Below are 21,188 nucleotides of genomic sequence, written 5' to 3' on the forward strand. Positions count from 1 at the left end.
CCATACTGTTCTAATAGCTACAACTTTATAGAATATTTTGAAGTACCACAGGGTAATTTTTCCACCCCATACTTCTGTGTAGTTCTTTATTTTCAACGCTTACTTGGCTACTGGAGAACATTTCTAACTTCCCAGGTGTATTTTACAATCAGCTTGACAAGTCCCATAAAAAATTGTGTTGTATTTTGATTGAAAATGCATTTAATTTTGGATTGGCTCTGGGGAATTAACATTTTTATAACATTGACTTTTCTCATCTCGTGGAGATATATTTCCACTTATTCATTTCTTCCATTCTTTTCTTATTATGTTTTCCTGTTTCATTCATTTAGATCTTACATATTTCTTATTAGGTTTATTGCTATGTAGTTCATATTTTTTATTTATATTATGAATGAAATCTTTTCTCAATTACATTTTCCAATTGGTTGTTACTGATATATAAGAAATATATCGGCTCTTGCGTGTTTTTCTAATATCAGCGTACCTTGGTGAACTTACTAGCTTTCAAATTTTCAGAAATTCTTCACGGTTTCTTTCTTGCTGATGAAAACCTTCTTATTCATCAGTAATAAGTATTTAATTTGATATAATGAATTTAGAGGTAAAGTTTCAGAACTGGGACATAAATCTAGGTGAACAGTATAACTTCCTTTCTTCATATTATTTCATGGTGACTCTTTTTTTTTGAGATACAGTCTCACTCTGTCACCTTGGCATGATTTCGGCTCATTGCAGCCTCCGTCTCCTGGGTTCAAACGATTCTTGTGCCTCAGCTTCCCGAGTAGCTGGGGTCACAGGCATGACCCACCACGCCCGGCTAATTTTTGTATTTTTAGTAGAGATGGGGTCTTGCGATGTTGGCCAGGTTGGTCTCAAACTCCTAACCTCAGGTGATCCACCTGCCTCGGCCTCCCAAAGTGCTGGCATTACAGGTGTGACTCACTATGCCTGGCCTTTCATGGTGACTTTTAACATTCAATGACTTCTTCCTCCATCCCTCCATCCATTATCCTTTTTCCTCAGCACAAATCAAGCTATAATAGAAAAAAGGATCCCTGGTTCTTGCCAAATCCTTCATTTTACCTACTGAGACCTAAAGAATTTAAATGACTTGTTTAAAGTCACACAACTTAGCACTCAGAAAGTGGCAGAATTGGATTAGCTTCAGGAATGGCTTTAGAGTCTCTAACATGTAAGCAGAAATAACAGTGGCTTAACTAAGGCTCTTTTATAAATTGCATATGCTTGTATACACTACCCATTTTATTATTCCAGAGAATGATTTGTGTATTTCATTAATTAAGTAAATTCAATTATAAATTAAATATTCGTGTATTTTATGAATGTGAATGAAATAGGCAAATTTTCATGCCATGCAAATATTGTATGCTTTCAACTGTATACTTTTAAAAAGTAGGAAATGGGCCATATTTATATTATAAAAATCTACAAGTACATACAAAGTGGCTAAAGGAAATTATCAAAATACTTCAGACTATAGGGCAATGAAAAGTAAACCCCAAAAGTGCATTCAGCATTGTGACAGATTAAAGAGATGTGGGAAATATGGGGTAAAATAATGATAAAGGAATAATATAATTAAATAGTTATTATTGGTAGTGCAATACATTGTACTAAGTACCTTACATATGCTAACTCACTTAACTCTAAAATATACACACACAACAACCAAGAAGTTAGTATTGTTTTTCTCCTTTCAAAGAGGAGATAACTGAAATTTACAGAGATGAAATTACTTGGCAAGGTCATGATATTAATGATCAGCAAAGACTGAATTTGATCCCAGGTTATTTCACTCCAAAGCCCTTGTTCTGCCTTTTCTATATATATTGTTTTCCTTAGAATCCAACTAGACAGATATACACATATCATCGCTTTTGGCAATGCTGCATTAGTACGCCAAATCCCAGGATAATATTTTTAAGTATTAACTGAGCCACAAATGAATCTACTGCCAAAAAGCTGGTCATGTAACTTACTGAACATTTTCCGTGAACACCTTCAAGGACATATTATCATCACCAGTCAAAAAATCAAAAGTCATTGTGGAAGAACTCCTGATACAAGCAGCTACATGGCTGATATCAAACATATGTGAAGCAAAATGAGCCAGATACAAAAGAGTATATCTTACATGATTTTGTTTAAACTCTTGAAAAGATAAAGCTAACCCACGGTGACAGAAAGCAGATCTGTGGTTGCCTGGGGCTGAGGACTGAGAAGGATTGATTGGGAAGAGAAATTAGAGAATCCTTTTGGGGTGGATAAAGGAGGATGTAAATATTCTTCAGAAACAGGTCACAACTATATGTAGAATGTGTTTAATGGTTCCTCTTAACCAGGGTAAAGACTCAGATTCATTAGGAACCTGCTTTGGAGAAGTTAATTTAATATATGTTATGTGGATCTTCAGTGTTTCAGCAGTCTGGTCAGAGACCAGAAGCAAAATTTAGCTACTGAAAAGAACAGTATGATAGCTTAGTGAACAATCAATTGTGGTAATCCACCCAGATGCAAAAAGGGTACCCAAGAACATCTCACATGTCCTGTCCTGATATAGAATTAAGTCAGCGAGTTATTTTTTTCCTTTTAGAAGTGGACATAACATTGTAATGAGAAGACAGTTTTCCATCTGAGGCATCAGCTTGCAGATTACCTCTTTCATTTCAGCTTTTCTTGTTTTTATGGCAAATTCTGCTGCAACATTAATGATAACGGCTTTTTGCACTCATATCATTATGAGATCTTTACGTTAATTCAAGGATCTCAATGCCTGTCTTGAACAATGTCAAATGTAACAATGAAATATGAGCAAGGCTTATTGGAACACATCTGTATGCATCTCATGTCCGAAAGTGTATAATGTGTTCTATTTTGAAATTCTGATTTCTTCACAACATAAATATATCTATTATAAAATATGATTTTGAAGACATGATTCTTATCCTCTTCCATTCACTAGTTAGCTATTTGGGAGGGAAAAGCAATCATAAAAAGGAAAAGCCTGCTGTGCGTGGTGTGCATGTCTGTAGTCCCAGCTACTCAGGAAGCTGAGGCAGAAGGGTCACTTGAGCCTAGGAGTTTGAGTCTGTGGTGTGGTATGATCACACCTTTGAATAGTTGCTGCACTCCAGCCTGGGCAACATAGTGAGACCTTGTCTCCAAAAGATACAATAAAATAAAACTTAAAAAGTGAACAGAAAAAGCTAAAAACAACTGTTTTTTTTAAAGATTTGCACTTTGAATTTACAAAGATGGGTATTCAGGATCTGTCATACTTGGTAAAGATTTAAAAACAGGCCTGAAGCAAAGAAACAATATGAAATAGAAAGTGTCCGATGCAATGTGAATGAATAAAGGGTAAAAGGGCAGTTATGATGCAGATGATCATCGTGGATTAAATTTTAATTTGGGATTTTGTAATTAAGGGATTAATTTCTTAATTAATAGACAGGCTTCGCAGGGTCCCTGAATATCTTGAAGTTACAAGCTAATTTCTCTCTGTATATAGGGAGAAAACCTACTGTCTTTCTCAGATACTCAAAGGATTCTGTGATCCAGCCATGGCTCCCCCTCTTTTTGAAAGTTAACCACAAGATTAAATAGATAGCTTAATCCAGGGCATTTCCAACTCCTGCTTATCTCAGACACTATTCTTGCTGAAACATTCACTCTGAGTCACTTGGTTAAAAGCCCATAAGGATCTACTTAGAGCTAAATATCCCTAGAGAATCCCCAGAAATACAAATTCCCAGGAAAATCCAACAAGTCAATAATAGAAAATAGAAACTGATTTAATACAGTATATTTTTGGGCCAATATCTCATTCACTCAGACCACAGTTTCTCAGAAATCAGTGCTGAGCAAACAGATCATTTGTTGCACCTCCCTGTTCCCCTGCCACAGAGATGCAGGTCACAAATCTCACAAGACGAGAAAGGAAAGAACTTCTGCATTTGTTAGCTTCTAACATTAAGGTACTAGACATTTCAAGAATGGCCCGAGGTCACCTAGTCAGCATGTGGTGCAGAGGGGATGTGAATCTCAGCCTGCGTGGATCTTAGTGGCCTTTCACTTCTCTCCTACCTCTTTGGTCCACCCGACATGCCTCCTTGGAGTTCAATGATTTAGTCAGTCCACTCCATCTGAACCATTTCCCAAAGCTGCTCGTTAGACTGAGGGCACATTTCTCATGCCAAGCTCTTTCTATTCCTTAATTCGGGTACATTTCCAATTTATTACCCCCATGGCGTAGTAGAAAGGGTACAATGCTGATAATCAGGACTCCTGGAATCGAGCCGCTACTCTTCTCTAAACAGAATGTGCAACCTTGCAAAAGGCAAGTATCAATCTGAGTGTCCAATAACCAGGGAGGGGGGTAGATTATATGATCTTGAAAGTTGAGATATAATAATATATGATTCTATTATTCCTTGGCATAAACATGTTTCTAGGGCAAATGATTTGATCATGTTACTAGGTTATTAGATCCATGTCCTTATTCAGGGAAATATCTATTATGCCCACAACAGTGTTGTCTATAACTCTGATTATTTGGACACCACCCAAATGTATTGAATTTGATTTTTCCAAGGTGTAGCACATTGTCAAGTCCAAACAGACCATTAAATGTCTTTTAATTGGCTGATTCATTGAACACCACTGCAATATCCTTTCCTTATGTAGGCCTGGGAAAAGTCATGAAGTGACATTTGGAAGTGAGGGCCTAAGCGGGCAGTGGGTAATTTAAGGCAGGAAGCTTTGGACCGGAGAGAACCCTGGCTAAGAAGAAGCCGCAGCCTCTAGGGGCTCATCTCCCTGTTTGTAAAACAGCACTAATACCCTGGGCCTATTGTAAAGATGCAGTGAGATGCCTTCTGCTTGCTAAAAAGGTATAGAACAATCTCAAAGCTTTATCAATGTAACTACAAGGTATCTGTTTGGGAAATGGCATATTTGACCACACTGGCCTTCAGCCAACCCAGTTTCATAGAAACACTTTGCTACCTTAGTACAGCACATGTTAACCTGCTAGAACTGCAGGGACTACTTCTCCTAATGAGACACTCTTGCAAAGATTCTCAGGCTCCTTTTAATTATGTTATTTTACAGAAACTCTGCTGATCCTTCTGCTTTCCTACTTCTGAGGTAGGAAAGGGCAGAGATTTATCAACCACAGAGTATGGCTGGAGGCAGTGGTGACATGTTTGTGTGGCCTTTCTCCGGTCACCAGTGAGTCACAGTGGCATCGGCTTCCTATCAGGGTCTGTGACATACAGGGCAATGTCCGTCATTCCAGTGAGACTCCTTGCAGGTGAATGGCCTTCCAAATTTTTCAGAAAAGCATTTTTTTTCAAGCATTTTTTTTTCTGTTCTTGATTTTGAGATGTTAGGCCGACAGTGATTGACAGAAACTGACCCAGGTAAGACATACAAACTGCTTTAAAGGCGGAAAAGTTTGCTAGAAAGCTATTGCATGAAGATGGTTTTATGAACAGGAGACTTGGTAACATTTCCTCGGTCTCTCAAGTTTCACAAAAGTGCACTATCATCTCATCTGTCTGGAGATTTCTATTAGGATTTTTGAAAACTTGACCTGAGCTTGTGTGTGCTTGTATATGAGGTAGTAGATGGAAGTGGGGTGTGTCTTTTTGCCTTTGAATCTGGCCCAACTGTTCTAGTGCAGCCAGGTGTAAGCTATAAACCAGTGGCATTAGGATATGAGAGTATCTTGCCCTGAGAATCTTTATCTTCATCCCCCTGATCACACTGGGGGCTACTGTGAGCCCAGTCCCAGTGTATTTCTGAGCAGCTGCAGCAGGCCAGGCACAACTGAAGGTTAACCCCGCTTGCCTCTAGGGTCTGGCCATCCCGGGCTGCACGGGGCTTCAGTGGCCTTCCTGCAGTTCTCTTCCCAAGGAGGCTCAGCCTGTTCTGGTTTTGCTAAGAGACCCTGGATGCGTCTATTTGCCTCGTTGGTATCTACCCTCCCCTCCCTTCCTTGACCCATGCAGCCAAGATTCAGGACTTCAAAGACATCCTTCCTTCCTGCAGCCCGACAGGTTAAAGATTTGTTCCCAAGTCTCCTGAAGAGCTGCGTCAGATTGCAAATCACTGGCCAGTTCCAGAAAGCTGCTCCCAAGTGTTTCAGGGCAGCTCTTAGACCAGTGCACCCTCGTGGTAAGAGAGGTGACAGAACAAAGCCAGAATTGCTTTTCATTTCTGGAAACACTAGTCTTTCATGTCAGAGTTTAGGTTACTTAATCTTTTCGTGCCGGGAATAAGATTTCCCTAGTGTGACATCTGCTGATAGCAATGGACAGTCCATGATTTCCAGCGCCAAGAAATTAATACTCTAATCTGCATAATCAAATCCCCAGGTAAGCATCACCATTCCTTTCTCAGTACTTTCTGTCCCTTGCATTTCCAAATCCTTCTATTTATCCAAAACTCAGAATGAAAATGTAGTGCTTAATAACAATTTTTACTAGGGGAGTTTTTAGGTTACTATGATAGACATTTACTGCACAAAATTTACTAAATTCAGGATAATCAGGTTTTCTTATGTGTTTGAAATATGATAAAAATATATATCGCCTGAATGTTTCATGCTACAGGGTGCATTTTGTGAATTTACACTTCAATCACTTAGTCTACTGCAATATAATGTTGATTTATGTTCAGGGTTTGAACCTCTATTCAATGTTGAAATCCTTAAAACAAACTTTAGACACAGAGGGCTCTTCACTTTTCCATTAGACTTCTTAATCCAGTTTAACTATATCCTTCTTCAGTTAAAAAGCTAGAAAGAAGTGTTGTTGAAGGTCACAGTGACAGAAATTTCAGCCAGCATGACACTCCTGGAGGTTATTGTTTTCCTACAGAGCTGGATGAGTTAATCTGGTATTGTTGCAAGAGGTTGGGAAGGCCAAACAAGGCCGAATCAGGGTAAGACAATTTTATAGTCTTACAGCTATAATTAAATCCAGGACCTGGGATCAATGTAAATATAAATCCCAGTATTAGTCCTGAATTTAGTTCACAAATTGCTTTTTGGAAACTGTTACCCTAGCAAACTCCTATTTATTCTTCAAAGTCAAGGTTAGCTGTGACCACACCCTAGAAGGCTTTCCTGACACCCAGAATAGTGTTTGTCACTTTTTCCTCTGAGGACCTTGGATGGTATATGTTTCTGTTGCATTTACTACTCTACTGCACAACTGTTTGTTTATATTATCTATCTCCTTATTAAATGATGACCTTTTTAAGTCTGAAACTGTGTCTAAACTATCTCTGTGTCCTCAGGAGCTAGTACACTACCAAGGACATAGTGCTCAATGAATTTTTGTTGAAATAATGAATAAAGCAATATATTCTGGCTGTCCCATGAATATGATTGTGCAGCATAGTGCCCAGGTGTTCTGAGCACATGCACCAAGTTTTAAATTAAACTGCCACCACTTTCAGGGCAGAGAAAGAAAAGCAGGTTGCAGGCCAATTCTGGTCCATGGTTGCCTTATTGGGTTTCCTCAGTGTCATTAAATAGCTGAACTAGGTGTTAGCCAACATTTAAAATTTGAGAGACTACATGCAAAAGTCTGCATTTCTAGCTTCTTACAATTTTCAAAGCTATGGCGACATCTAGCTAGCATTTCCATGGGGCCTAACTGGCTGGGGCTGGCTGCAGGGCACACAACTTCCTTTCCTGCTTCCTTCACCTGGCTTAGCCCCTTAAGGCATCTGATCTCCGAGCATGAGAGTTTTCATTGTTTTGGTGAGAGGATGGTTTATGTAAAGCCAGCCACATAGTAATACAGATTGACACATATGATGGGAAGTCAGCCATGTGCTCTTGAAAGCAATTAATACCTATTAATACAATTAATACATATATCTAATTTTAGGAGGATATGAAGAATAGAAATTTAGGTGCCTTCCATTAAGTTACTTAAAATTTAAGAGGGAGTAGAATGGGGAGATAAAAACCCATGAAACAATATGGAAACATCAGTCCCCCTGACCAAAGGCACATTCATATAATACAATCTCTACAGCTTACGGAGCCAACAATTCCAAGACAGAACCTATGTCTGCAGTCTCACTGGCCACAGGAAGAAATAAAACAAAACAAATAACAACAAAACACCTGAAACTCATTTAAAAGGAGAGATAATTTCCCCTAATTATCCTGACCCATCTAAACATAATATTTCAAAGCTTGCCTTCTTCACTTTAAATACACAGCACCCTAAGCACTGCTCTCACTCCCTTCTGCTCTTCCCTCCCTTGGAGCCACTTCATTTGTGAAACCACCTCCCTGTACCTCTGTTACAAGCATTTCCATTTGCCTGGTTTCACGTAATCCTTAGTTCACTCAGCATTTATTGAGGCTCACGTGTATTCCAGTTGTGTACTAGGAGGATTCAAAGGTCAAAACAAGGTTTTTGTCCCTAAGAAAATAAAGGCCAAATCAAGCAAGAAAAGAGTAGGAATCCTACCTTGATTTCCTTATAACAGACCACATACACCTTACGTGATAATGCTGACTATAAGCTGATGGGAACACAACATTTAGTCATGATGCATGGACTGGTAAGCTCTGGGTCTTGTTCAAAGAAAAAAAACACACCCCTCAATTGCTTTGGGAATGAAGAGCAAAGGTATGCAAAAAGAATTGTAGCATACTTACAAAGTAACATATCAATGCTGCCAGGACTTAGTGAGCAAGGTGTGAGTAGGAGATTGAGTGGGGCAGGGAGTTGTGATCTTATTCCAGGAGTACCTCCAAAGCATATGAATTTAGAAACCAGATTGTGAGGAAGAGAATTTCTCATGCCTTTGCACAGTGTATTCTTTCTGGATGGCATTTATACTTTCTCTTGTCCACCTGGAGTCACATGGAGGCATGGCTTCCTCTGCTGGGCCTTCCCCAGGGCCCTCTGCAAGCGGAGCTAGGATTCCACTTGCCCCACGCCTGTCTCTGCTCAGCTGCTATAGCTTCCCACATGCCTTTTAGAACATCATTTCCCTTTCAGGCTTAATTGTAGACCACAGGCCCTTGAGCAAATGCATTTTGCCATGGACTCCTCAGCACTGACATTACTTTGGGTGCTCCCAATTTGGTAATCGAATGAAGAGGAGTGGCAGGGGTGGGGTGGGCAGGAGTAGAGTAGCATTTTGAACAGAAAAATGACATACAAAGTGGAACAGTTGAAGGAAAACCTATGTCATGCTCTGTGGAGTGAAAGTATTTCTGCTTGGCTGAAGTAAAGAATTTGTGTCAGGAAAAAAAGAAAAATGAGGCTGTTGAAGTGTGAAGCAAGTCTATAGAGGGTCTTGGGCATATTATGAAGAGGGAAAAATCACATCTTGCCATAACCCTGATGATTCTTTCTTGTCTTTTGTATAGCTCTTACTTGATCCCAAACCAACCTCACGTGTTACATCTCATCATCGAAAGCCTTGCTCTGCAGGAACTGTGTGATTTTTCAAAGTGTCCCTTACCTCTCAAAGGGGCCACTTTCTGCACGTCTGGCAGGTTAATATCCTTTCCAGTGCTTAGTGCATGACACAGAATACCTGCTGCACATTCTCCATATGTTTTCATGTCTGGCCAGTGCCCATAATGAAACCACCAATGTCCTGTAACCATGCAGGATGACAGGCTCACCACCAGTGGATACTCTGCCATCTGAGCCCTGGTGTTACTCAGCATCCCTGAAGCATCACTGGCTGCTCCTCCTGTCACCCTGTGGGTGTTTCTAAATTAGATATCAGGTTTGTAGGGCAGGACTGGAGGCGCCTCCATGGCTGGTCCACACAAACAGCCAAGGGGCAGAGTTCATCCATTCCAGAAACTCATAAGGTGAACTTATATCCCAACAGCGTGGGAAGCCAGGTAGATGCTTCAAACTTGTGTGGATGTTCTTGCCTCTTCTCCCAACTCCTTCTTAGTTTGTGTCTCAAGAGAGGCCAGAATCGATCAGAATGAAAAGCTTCCATCACAGAAACTCAAGAACCACAGTTCCATTCTTTACCTTCTTCTTTACTCACTCACCTACCCCTCCCTTATTGCTCTCACCACAGGCTACCTGCTTAACTAGTCTTTTTTCTTTTCATCTTTTTGTCTCACTTCAACTACATATATGTGAAAGAACCCCAAAGGCAGATGTTTTGAAAAAGCAAAATACATACATTTAAAAGTGTATAATGGTTGGGTGCAATGGCTTATGACTGTAATCCCAGCACTTTAGGGGGCTGAGGCAGGTGGATCACAAGGTCAGGAGATCAAGACCATCCTGGCTAACACAGTGAAACCCCATCTCTACTAAAAATACAAAAAATTAGCCAGGCATGGTGGCGGGCGCCTGTAGTCCCAGCTACTCGGGAGGCTGAGGCAGGAGAATGGCGTGAACCCGGGAGGCAAAGCTTGCATAGACCACTGATACTACATGAACTCCAGTATGGGGAAAGTTCACTGAGGACTGCTGAGGCCCTGGCTGGCCCCTTGCTGGGACAGCTGTTTCTTATATGTTATTTTCCTTTATTTCACAGCTGGATCTCACAGTGGGATGCTTGGCTTGTGGACAGGTGGAAAGGAAAGTGTGCAGTGTCTTGCCAGATCAGACTCATGGATAGATTTACACTGAAAATAAAGACTAAGAGAAAAAAAAAGCGGAACAAGTAGAATGTAAAAGCCCTCTCATCTTACTGGAAATAATGATATAAAACACTAGCAAAAACAAAAAGTCCGCATTCTAAGAAGTAACAGCAAATTTTTGCACCTTGGTTCTAAGCTGTCAGATCCTCCACTGTTGATGTGAATCATCTACCCTATAAAATTCTTTTCTTCCTAACTTGGCCTAAGGATATCAGTAGTAGGACTTTTTGAAATATCAGATGAAAAAGAAAAGAAAACATTGTCTTAATCTAAGAATACGAGAATAATGTCCCATCAGGATAATGGTTACACAGGTATCCCAAACAAGTAAAAGACAGAACACATAGGAAGGGGAAAATCTTAGATGCCGCATTTCAGAAATGTGTAAAGATGGTAGGCTCCTTATTGGGATTGTACTGCAGAAGCCCTCTGATCTGACTCAATCCTAGGTGAGCCAGTTAATTCAAATGTCACCTAGAATAGGGAATCAGAAAATTTGTCCTCTTACTCATTTATGTTCCACGCAGAGGGAGCACCAATTGGAGGCGAAAGGGGGGACTTAATTTCAACAGATTTTCAGGTTTAAATCCTTGGTCTGTCAAATACCTGCTACAGGACTTAGCCTGTCTATGCCAAAGTATCCCCATTGGTAAAACGGGTGCAATGATAGGTCCTACCCCATGGGACTGTGATAAAGATGAAATTGGTGAGTGCTGTAAAGTTTGTAGAATAGAGTCTGACACATGGTAAGCACTACTATGTATTTGGTAAGTGACATTTTTGGTAGGGCCAAGGCTGCTTCTTTGCTTAGAGATCTTTTTGTTGGAATCTTCCATTATCTTTTTTTTTTTAATTTGGCATCAACACACACTTTATACATTGTCTATGATTCCTAATTTTTGTTTTCCTTAACAATGGTACAGGAACTTAAAGGCATTTGAGGAGCAGTTTGCATGCAGAATTGTTCCACATTTAATACAATTTCTGGTCTCCCACAATTTATTTTTATAGTTAGACAACTATATTTAATGTGATCACAAATACTACTTTAGCAGACCTACTAAGTTACAAAAATAACTCATTCTTGGCAAGTATTCAGCTCAACTGGTAAGACAAATAAGTGTACATGGTAGAGAGCTCTTTACTAGCTGCCAACATTCATTAAGTTGAGGGCATTGTTCAGTGTGATTTGAAAGGGGGAATGCTGAGCATCAGTGAATCCAGACAAGTAGGTTCAAATGAGCTTAGTTAGGAGATTCCAGTCTCTGTAAGAACATTACTTTTGGATTTTGTTTGCTATCCCGCCATCTCAATTCCTTGGAATTTAGTTCCAATGTTGATTTTAATATGGAGGGGGGTCTTGTTAATCTGATTTATTGCCACCCATAGTCCCAGAGATATCATTCTAGAAAATGAAATCAATAGAGAAGTTTGTTGTCAATCTTAAGATTTTAATTTCAGCTTAGGCCTTTCTTATTTCCATCATGGACCTGGCTCCCTTTGTAAGTTTACCAGAATCTGTCAACTAATCCTCAGAGCACTCCCTTTCTGTCTCTCCCACATAAGAATTTGCTAAATGATATCCATATAACCTCTTATTCTGTATTTTTAAGGGACAAAGAATTGGCTGTTTCTTATAAGTTATTTTCCTTTATACTATTTATAATTTGTCTACCTAAATCACAATGTGTTCATAACTCTTCTTTCTGTATTTCTTTTCAGGTAGCAACTTTGGAATATAGAGAATCATTAGGCTGTATTCAACAAATAATAACTAATGCAGCCTTCTAAGAAGTGCAAAAAAACTACTTAGAAATCTGCTATAATGAATCCAAAGACCATGGGCAGCAGCTATAGGGTCAATAATATTTGGAACCAGGGACACACTGGTGGATTTGCTGCCCCCACCCACCACATCCTCAGACATACTGGGCTGGAACACATGACTGTGTAGTGCCTCAACATTCATGTAAGACAGGAAAACTTCAAAAGAGGTGGGAGCACAAACCTCTCTTAAGTTTATGCAAAATAACTCTCCAGAACAATGAATTATTATTTGTTCATTATTCCACTCAACGCATAATGACTGAGCATCCATAGGTGTAAAGCAAGTTTGGAATGATTGTATTTTAGCTCCACTGTATATATTTTGTTTCTCAAACCCTAAAGTACTATCAGAAAATGAAAAGCCATGAGTGAAATAATTAACACACCATCTGAAAAGCCAGTCATGTCCTCTGTCTTGGATTATGAGCTCCAAGATGTTAAGAGGGCAGGTATCACACTTTATATCATTATTCTTCACAGAACTATTAACAGCCCATCTTTTATAAATATTATTTAAATTAGAATGGCTCCTGGAGGGAGTACTATTTGGGGAGAAATATGAAGTGTGTTGGCTGAAAACACCTAATGAATAAACACTGATGTCTATTGTTAGCATACACATCATCCCCTGATCTCTGAGTATGAATTTAAGAAATTTGTGACAGCCAATGAAAATGCTTATATACCCATAGCACGTGTGTTTACCATGCAAATAAATGATCACAATTCATAAACAGGGACTGTAGAGTCTTAAACACTACTTCAGAAAGGCCTCAAGTTACAACAGGCAGAACAGAAAAAAAATCAGGAACATGCAACAGCTTTTAAAAGTAATTCTAATATTGAATCTTGATGATGAGATTGCAAAAGAAACACAATTTTTTATAAATGCAAGATCCCCTATGACAAATATTTACGGTGGTCAGGAACAGAAAACAGAATAGAGATAGATGACTTCGCTCCCACCCCACAAAATTTTTGAGTCATAAATTATGAATTATGTTCAAACATATAAGGCAGAGAGGAAATTAATTTAGGAGATGAGATCTATTTTATAATTCAGAGAGCTGTTTTATTTTAATTTGGGGGGCAAATTACATTTTGATGTTCAGCTTACCGAACATCTTTCTTTCTCTGAAATGAATTACAATTTCCCGTTATTTCTCTGAGGAGTCCTAAGATTTTTATTCCAAAATTCAGAGGGTAAATTAGCAACACAGTCTGGATCATTTGGAAAAATACCGTCCAGCAGAGCTTTCCACAATGATGATAATGTTGTCCACGTGTGCTGTCTACTAAGGTAGTCCCTGGCCACATGTGGCTTTTGATGACTGGAAATGTGGCTAGTTGGACATAGAAACTTAATTTTAATTTAATTTAAATTTTTAAAATTAAAATTTAAATAGCCCTACATGGCTAGTGGTTATAGTGCTGGACAGTATCATCCAGATGACCACAGGATGGACAAGGACCTTCCTCTCAGCCAATTAGACCACGCAGTGGTGGGCCGCCCTTTGCACATTGCACACTGCCCCTGTGAAACCTCGATGCAGTCTTTGACAGCTTAGCCTCAGAAGGGCTTGGGGGCAAAGCTCATGGGAGCTTGTTTAAGCAAATATACACATTAATAGGATCACAAAGATCGGAAACAGCAAAGGTCAGCCCTGCAGACCCCTCTCCCCATTCATATGTTTCCCTGCAGTGGGACATATTCTCTAGTGCTTTGTCAGGAACAGCTTCAAATCGACTCAAATGGCTTGACTTTCCACAGCTTTCCATGTTATGAAGGCAAGTAAAAAAAAATAGTTCAGTGAGAGCACTTAGAAAAAGACAACCTGTAAAAATACTGAGATAGAAACAGGAGACGTTCTGTTATAAGAAGGAACTCTGCATAGAGAGAGATATAAAAGAAAAACAAACCCCACATGTATTTTTGATCATAAAGAGTTTGAAATAAAAAAAATGTGCTTTGGCACTACATAAAATTCTTCCTTGATTATCACAGTATGCAAGATTACTAATGCTGGTCCCCAAAGCAATCAATTATTTCCTAACTCCTTTCCATGGTTCCATTTAGTTTACTACAGAACATCTTCTGATTGTCCCTTTTGCCTGTTTATTATTTGTTAGTGCATTTCCTTATCTGCATGTAGCTTTAAAAAGTCAAGAACTTCAGACACCTTCAAATTTAATGACATAACTTGAGAAAGGAAAGAATTGGGATTCTGATGCAATATGCCTTGCTCATGAAGATGTTGCTAACTTCTGAACTTAAGTAACTTCCTGTCAATAGCATTTCAGTAGCAAAGATTGTTTTCCAGATAAACACATACCTGGAGGAGCAGATCAGAAGTGGGTCTGACTCGCTGTTGGAATAGGATGCTTAGTGTTCGATTCTGCTGTTCCAAATCAAACACTCTTGTTTTCAACTTCACACATTCCTCTCTTAGATCCTACAACAAACACATCGAAGGAGGAAAAAGTCCATAACTGAAAGATGTCTTTGCATATTATAACCATATTTTATATATCTCAGATCATTAGTAAAAAACGGTATTTTTATTCTTCAAAGCCCCCAGAAGTAAATCACATACGTTTTCGTCCACAGACCATTGTCTGATAGAATTATTATGTGCAAAGAAGACCAATTTTTTTTAAAAAAGCACCTTGAAATCAGAAATGCATTAATCTAGCATGCTATTTTTGAAGACAGTAAATCTTAGCGATATGAAGTCAATTTAAGTTTCCGCCTATATATTTTGCCTTTTCACTGTCTTTATAAAAGCAATCATAGAGCACAAACCACAAGGACAACAACAGTGTTTCTGCAGGGAATAGAGATTTGATGAGCTAAAGAAACTATCATTTCTGATGGAGTTTTTCATTGTCATTTGTGAAAACAAGTTGAAATTCTCGGTGATGGGGCTAATAGAGTCAGTGATGCATTTAGCGGGAGAGAAATAGCTCCGAAGAGATGGCTTTTAAAAGGCCACTTGCCACTTGCCCATCCTCTGAACTCATGGATTTCCATACCTTCTGGGGCTTTCTGGTCTCAGTGCTGGGTAAGAAGCACACTTAGCCCATTCTGGCATCTGTTTGGAGCAGCTCTTTTGAATAGTTCAAACACCACAGAGACCTTTTCCCCAGCTCATGGAGGAAGCTGATGTACTAGAACTGCCTTCCAAACTGACTGCAATAAAGGAACTTGCGGTACTTAAATATCTATGCCCTTTTTGATGGAATTCAAGGCAGACGCAGTAGAATAAAACCCAAATTCAAGGTTCTTCAAAAGCTGACCCTTTTCTGCATTTCAAACTATCTTTCACTACTTCCTGATGTTAATAAAAAAAAAAATGTCTTCTGTTCTCACCAAGCAGAGAACAAAGGTCTGGCGTGTTGTTCTCTAAAGCTCTACGCATTCCTTCTACCTTCTTCTCTTTTCCTTCCACTGCCACTTTTCCTTCTTATCCACCTTCTTCTTTCAGCCCATATTTGGCTCTTTGATTGAAGTACAGTTCAAACTTTATCACCTCTCTGACCTTTTACCTGGCATCCCTCAATACCTGCTCCATTTTCTGAACTCCCATCAGCCCTCAATGCCTCCTTTGTGACGGTTAGCATATATTACTCTGTATTCATTTTATCGTTTGTGCTCTAGACTTGTCAATTACACGACACATTTTTCACCAGACAAGCTCAAGAAGATACTGAAATAACCACACCAGCATATTGCTCTTACATTGTTTTTATTCCATCACCTAGCACAATGCCACACATAGTAGGAGCTTAATAAGTGCTCACAATTATTTTGCTAAAGGGGATGATGATGGCAAATTCTATTCACTAGTGATTGGTGTGATAAAGAGCGTTTAAGTTTCTCAACACTTCTACTTCAAAGATTTATGTATTCTGATGTGGGGCAGCTACCTATTGGGCTTAAGGCTCTGCAAGCAAGGGAGAGCCCAAGCCACAGTTCTGATGCCTAGGGCCTAAATAGGAGTCACAGAGTTACCTGGGCCTGCCATAACCTTGTATGAATCTAATGGTGAAGTTAGATCTCGCTAGTAAAGCCTTCTCTGAGGCTTGATGAGCATGCATCATCTTATCCAGTAGTATTAATTCTATTAAAGGGGGCAAAGAAACAGGCCAAGGTATAGCCCACTACAGTTTCAACTCTCCTTGCCTTTTTTAGTTAAATGGGTAAAGCTTATGTATAGGGTGTTTTCAACTGATCGGTGCCTACAAATGGAGAGCAGAGAAAAGAAATGTCATGTTCAGAATGACGTGCAAGAGTGCAAGATCCAGCAGGGCAGGATCACGAGTGCACATTTTGTACTCATGAGCACACATGCCATTTGGCAGAGGCCATTGTGAGGACCCACTCACTGCTCAAATTAAAAGGTGCAACTTCAGCCTGGCCAACATGGCAAAACCCCATCTTTACTAAAACTACAAAAATTAGGCAAGTGTGCACGCCTGTAGTCCCAGCTACTCGGGAGGCTGATGCACAAGAATCACTTGAACCCAGGAGGCAAAGATTGCCGTCAGCCGAGATCGTGCCACTGCTTTCCAGCCTGGGCAACAAAGTCTCAAAAAAACCCAGTCTCAAAAAAAAAAAAACCAAAAAAAAACAAAGGTGAAACTTTCTTTATTTTTATTTATTTTATTTTATTTTATTTTGAGACAGAGTTTCACTCTTGTTGTCCAGGCTGGAGTGCAGTGGCGCGATCTTGGTGCACTGCAACCTCCACCTCCCGGGTTCAGGCGATTCTTCTACCTCAGCCTCCTGAGTAGCTGGGACTACAGGCATGTGCCACCACGCCTGGCTAATTTTTGTATTTTTAGTAGAGACAGGGTTTCACCATATTGGCCAGGCTGGTCTCGAACTCCTGATCTCGTGATCCACCCACCTTGGCCTCCCAAAGTGCTGGGATTACAGGCATGAACCACCATGCCCGGCAAAACTTGCTTTCTTTATTTAGAATTCAACCTCTGTCTGTGTCTCATGCTGATTTTTGTTCTTAGCATGTATATAACACTCTCTGCTCCCAAACACTAATTGTTTTTAGTACTGCTAATTAAGTAGTTAATAAGACTTGACTGTGAGGCAGATAAATATTAATAGTACCTATTGGATGGGAAAACACAATCATCCTCATTTGCAACATAGAGATATGGAAACGGAAGCATACAGTGTGGATATGCAAGTAAAAGGGGACCTGAAAGCAATAGTAACCACGATTTTTAGCAGCAAAACTGAGAATACCTTGAAAGAGTTCTTCAGATGGGTAAAAAAAAAAAAAAAAGAAAAAGAAAGAATGAAAGAAAAAAATCAATATACTTTATAGAGAGTCTTTACACAAGTGCCCAAATTTCAAAGGCCATTAGTATTACTTAAGGTATGGTAAAAGTTCATTAGTGGGAACACAATTTATCGACCCTGAGAACTCTCTGTTCATCACTATTGGCACATCCAGCTCAGCACACAGCAGCAGGGAAGACAGAGGCTTTAGGGTTGTGACACTGATCTGATGGCCATTGACAAACAGAAATGAGCTGCTCTGAAAATCTGTAGATAGGAAAGAATCGCTTGCGTTGTTTTTAATATTCTTATTTTCTTCAGACAAGCTGTGGATCACCAGTAACTGATGCCAGAGAGTTGCCTTCCCAAGAAACTGTAAACAAAAACACCCATGTGCCCATGTACACACTCATAAACACAATCAGAATGGATATATATAAACAACTGTTTTGCTAACCACTATTGTAGTACCTGGATGGAGGGGGCAGATGGCTGTCTTAGCTTCCTCTATGCTCCCAACAGGAACACTTTGACATAAAGGAATGCATGACTGCATGATACATTTAGGCTGGATGCAAGAGCAGCTACTCTGACCCTGCCAGTTCAGAGGCAAGACCCAGAACAGCCTCCCCAAGGAAGGCTTTAGAAACAAAAGAACTCTCCTCTGGATAGGTGCCATAGTCTGGGATCATGGCTCAAGGGAGAGGCTGTACTATGTATCCTCTCTCATAATCCTTCTTTTTCTTCTATGACTTCCTGGCATGTATCAGACCTCAAGAAAGAACCTCACTGAAAATATAAGATTGTGTCTTCAGATAAGAAAATGGGGACATAACATAAATATTTATCATGGAGGAATAATGCCAAAGATTTGACTACATTTAATATCATGAAAAAAAAAAAGGTACAGTGGTGTTTGGGTTCAAGAAAATACTCAGACCTGTTTTCCTTGCACTCTTCATGTTACTATCAATTGGAAACAGAGACTTAAGAGATTACAGCTGAGCAATGTGATACACTGGTCTAATGGGCTCCTGTGCATCTTAATGATCCCAAACCATAATTTCTCTGGAGGATCCACACACTGTAATCCTGATAAATTCCCCCTGTGCTTGGGCTAAAGATGATTCTAGACTCACTGCTATATAGTACCTATAGGAGTACAGTTACTTTATGTATTGAAGAGTAAAATTGTTATCAGCTCTAGGCTGAAGTACATTTTTTAAAATGCTGATTGCTTAGAAGCAGGACATACACTAACATGATCGCTGGTGTGTCATTGAAAACTATTTAAATCTGATTTTACCAAGTAAAAATGACATGATAGTGGTATACCTATTTCAGAGGCAGTGTCTATCATGGGAATACATGGAATTGGGGCTTAGAGGGCCTGGGCTCTAGTCTTCATTGTCCACAGGGCCTTGAAGTGATTGCTTCTGATTAGGTCTCAGTTTCCTCATCTGTAAACCAAGGCACTGCACAAAATTGGGCTTCTGTTCAAAACACTGTATCTCTCACTAGCTTCATGGGATGTCTTTTCGAGTGCTGCTTTGTTCCCTCCCTGAAGCCTAATGGCCACCAAAACCACCAGCCTCTTTTGTCATACCCTTTCTTGGTGGCTTTCACTGATACATCCTTATCTCTGCCCCAAATGCTAAGACTTTTGTAACATGAAAAGCCACTTCTGGAAAAGGCTGGTCACATCTCAGACTGATCCAGGGCTTCAACATCGAATACTAAAAGGCAAGACAGGTGACATAAAAGTCTGACTGAACCAGGATACTGCACAGGAAGTAGTGAGTCCTGTGGCAAAATACATACTGCAAGTCTCCACCCTAAAAGCCTTCGGATTAAACCACTTATAATGAGGGCAATGGCTAAACAGTTCACGTAACTACAGTCACTTGAGCCCATTACCAAAGCTAGTTGACAATCTCAGGATTAAATACTCACCAAGGCTCCTGGAAATTGGGGAATTTGGGAGTTAAAAATAAGATTGATTTTGAGAAAGCTTGACCCCAAATATATAGAGTCAGTTTTACTCCACAGCTATCAAACTCTAAATGCTCTTCCTGCTACAGAAGATAAGCAATACTTCCAGAAGTTTTAGGAAGTCCTGTGGCTACCCTGCCTTTTATTTTATTCCCTGTGATCATAACCAGCCGTTGGATTTCAATCCTTCTTTTGATTTTCATGGTATCTCTCTCTGTCCTACTGAACTATGGGGGAGAAAAACAAGTGACAGAATGGGATTGTGGAGGAAGAATGAGGGAGTGGGTCAGAGCGTGGGGTTTACAGTGCAACAGCCATAATTAAAGCAAGGGCTCTGCCACTGCCTGGCAGTTGAAACTATGAGCAAACTTTTTTTTTAGTCCTACCTCACGGGGCTGCCTTGAGAACAAAACGACTTTGTGGATTTAAAGTGCTGCATGTGGGGTCTGAAGGCTTGTAAATGCCTGCTAAATATAAACAGCCACCTGATACCACACAGACCACTGCTAGAGAAGTGGACACGGATGGTTCAATTGCCCCTTTACAGGGGAAATAGGAATTTGGAGTTTTCTCAGGTACAAGCTATAAAATTGTTTTCTGTTTCTGCCTGAATGGCTGGATTCTACCATACCCAGCTTTATTCCATGTCGGTGAAGAAAACACATCATCGAAATATGTGTTTCCTCCAAAGAACATGCAGATAAGCCTGAGACTGTTCATATGAACGAAAATAACTGCAGAGAAAATGCCTTTCTTCCGTGTTTTGTTTAGTGGCAAACAAGCAAACAAACAAAAAACAAACCCAAAACACTGAAGAACCTAGGTGAGTTACATTTTCTGCAAATGTAATTGACTTAATGAAGATAAAATATATTTCAGATAACAATATGAATTTAACCTGAATTACTGATTTAATTCGCACTTGTAGACTTGGACCCATGATTTGGAGGCATCAAAGGAAGAAAAGTTGGGTTTAATATGATCACTTTTGTATTGTTGTTCTAAAGGGGTACAGTCCATTCTCCTAAGGGAATCCACAGGTTTTTGAGATAAACTAAATTACTTGACGAGGTACACTGAACAGAAACTGCTAAGTTCATGGAAATAATTTTTTTTTTCTATCAGTATCAGTAGACTCTGTTACTTCAGGATACTTGTCTGGGCCAATTCATGATATGCCATGAAAAATGTATTTCTGGCTGCCCAGTGAAGAGCTGAAGCCACAGCAGATTTGCCTTTGTGTCATAACTAATGGCATATTCTAAAACTGCACAGTAATGCTTATTATTTCACCTCAAGGATCTTCTGGTGACTTAGATAAATCGCTCAAGATTTTTTTCTGTTTTGTCTTTGCTACCTACATTCCTTTTTGGAATTATTTTT

At 39.6% G+C, this 21,188-nt stretch overlaps 1 protein-coding gene across 20 annotated transcripts in view, besides 1 other annotated feature; it reads right to left on the minus strand.

Annotated features, from left to right (window-relative positions):
- The window catches only part of NCKAP5 (NCK associated protein 5), a 1,003,049-nt gene that overhangs the window by 173,860 nt on the left and 808,001 nt on the right, over positions 1-21,188 (minus strand). For all 20 annotated transcript variants that reach the window (XM_017003975.3, XM_011511100.4, XM_047444134.1 and 17 more), the window contains one exon: positions 14,845-14,964. In XM_017003975.3, coding sequence (XP_016859464.1) covers positions 14,845-14,964 — 120 coding nt within the window. The remainder of the gene's footprint in view (positions 1-14,844; positions 14,965-21,188) is intronic.
- Positions 13,989-14,283: an enhancer, noted in NCBI's record as "tiled region #3189; HepG2 Activating DNase matched - State 8:EnhW". NCBI's record gives its function as "activates a minimal TATA promoter and a strong SV40 promoter by Sharpr-MPRA in HepG2 cells {active_cell/tissue: HepG2}" and the evidence as "EXISTENCE:reporter gene assay evidence [ECO:0000049][PMID:27701403]".

This window comes from Homo sapiens, chromosome 2, assembly GCF_000001405.40.
Source record: "Homo sapiens chromosome 2, GRCh38.p14 Primary Assembly".
NCBI classification, from domain to species: Eukaryota; Metazoa; Chordata; class Mammalia; order Primates; family Hominidae; genus Homo; species Homo sapiens.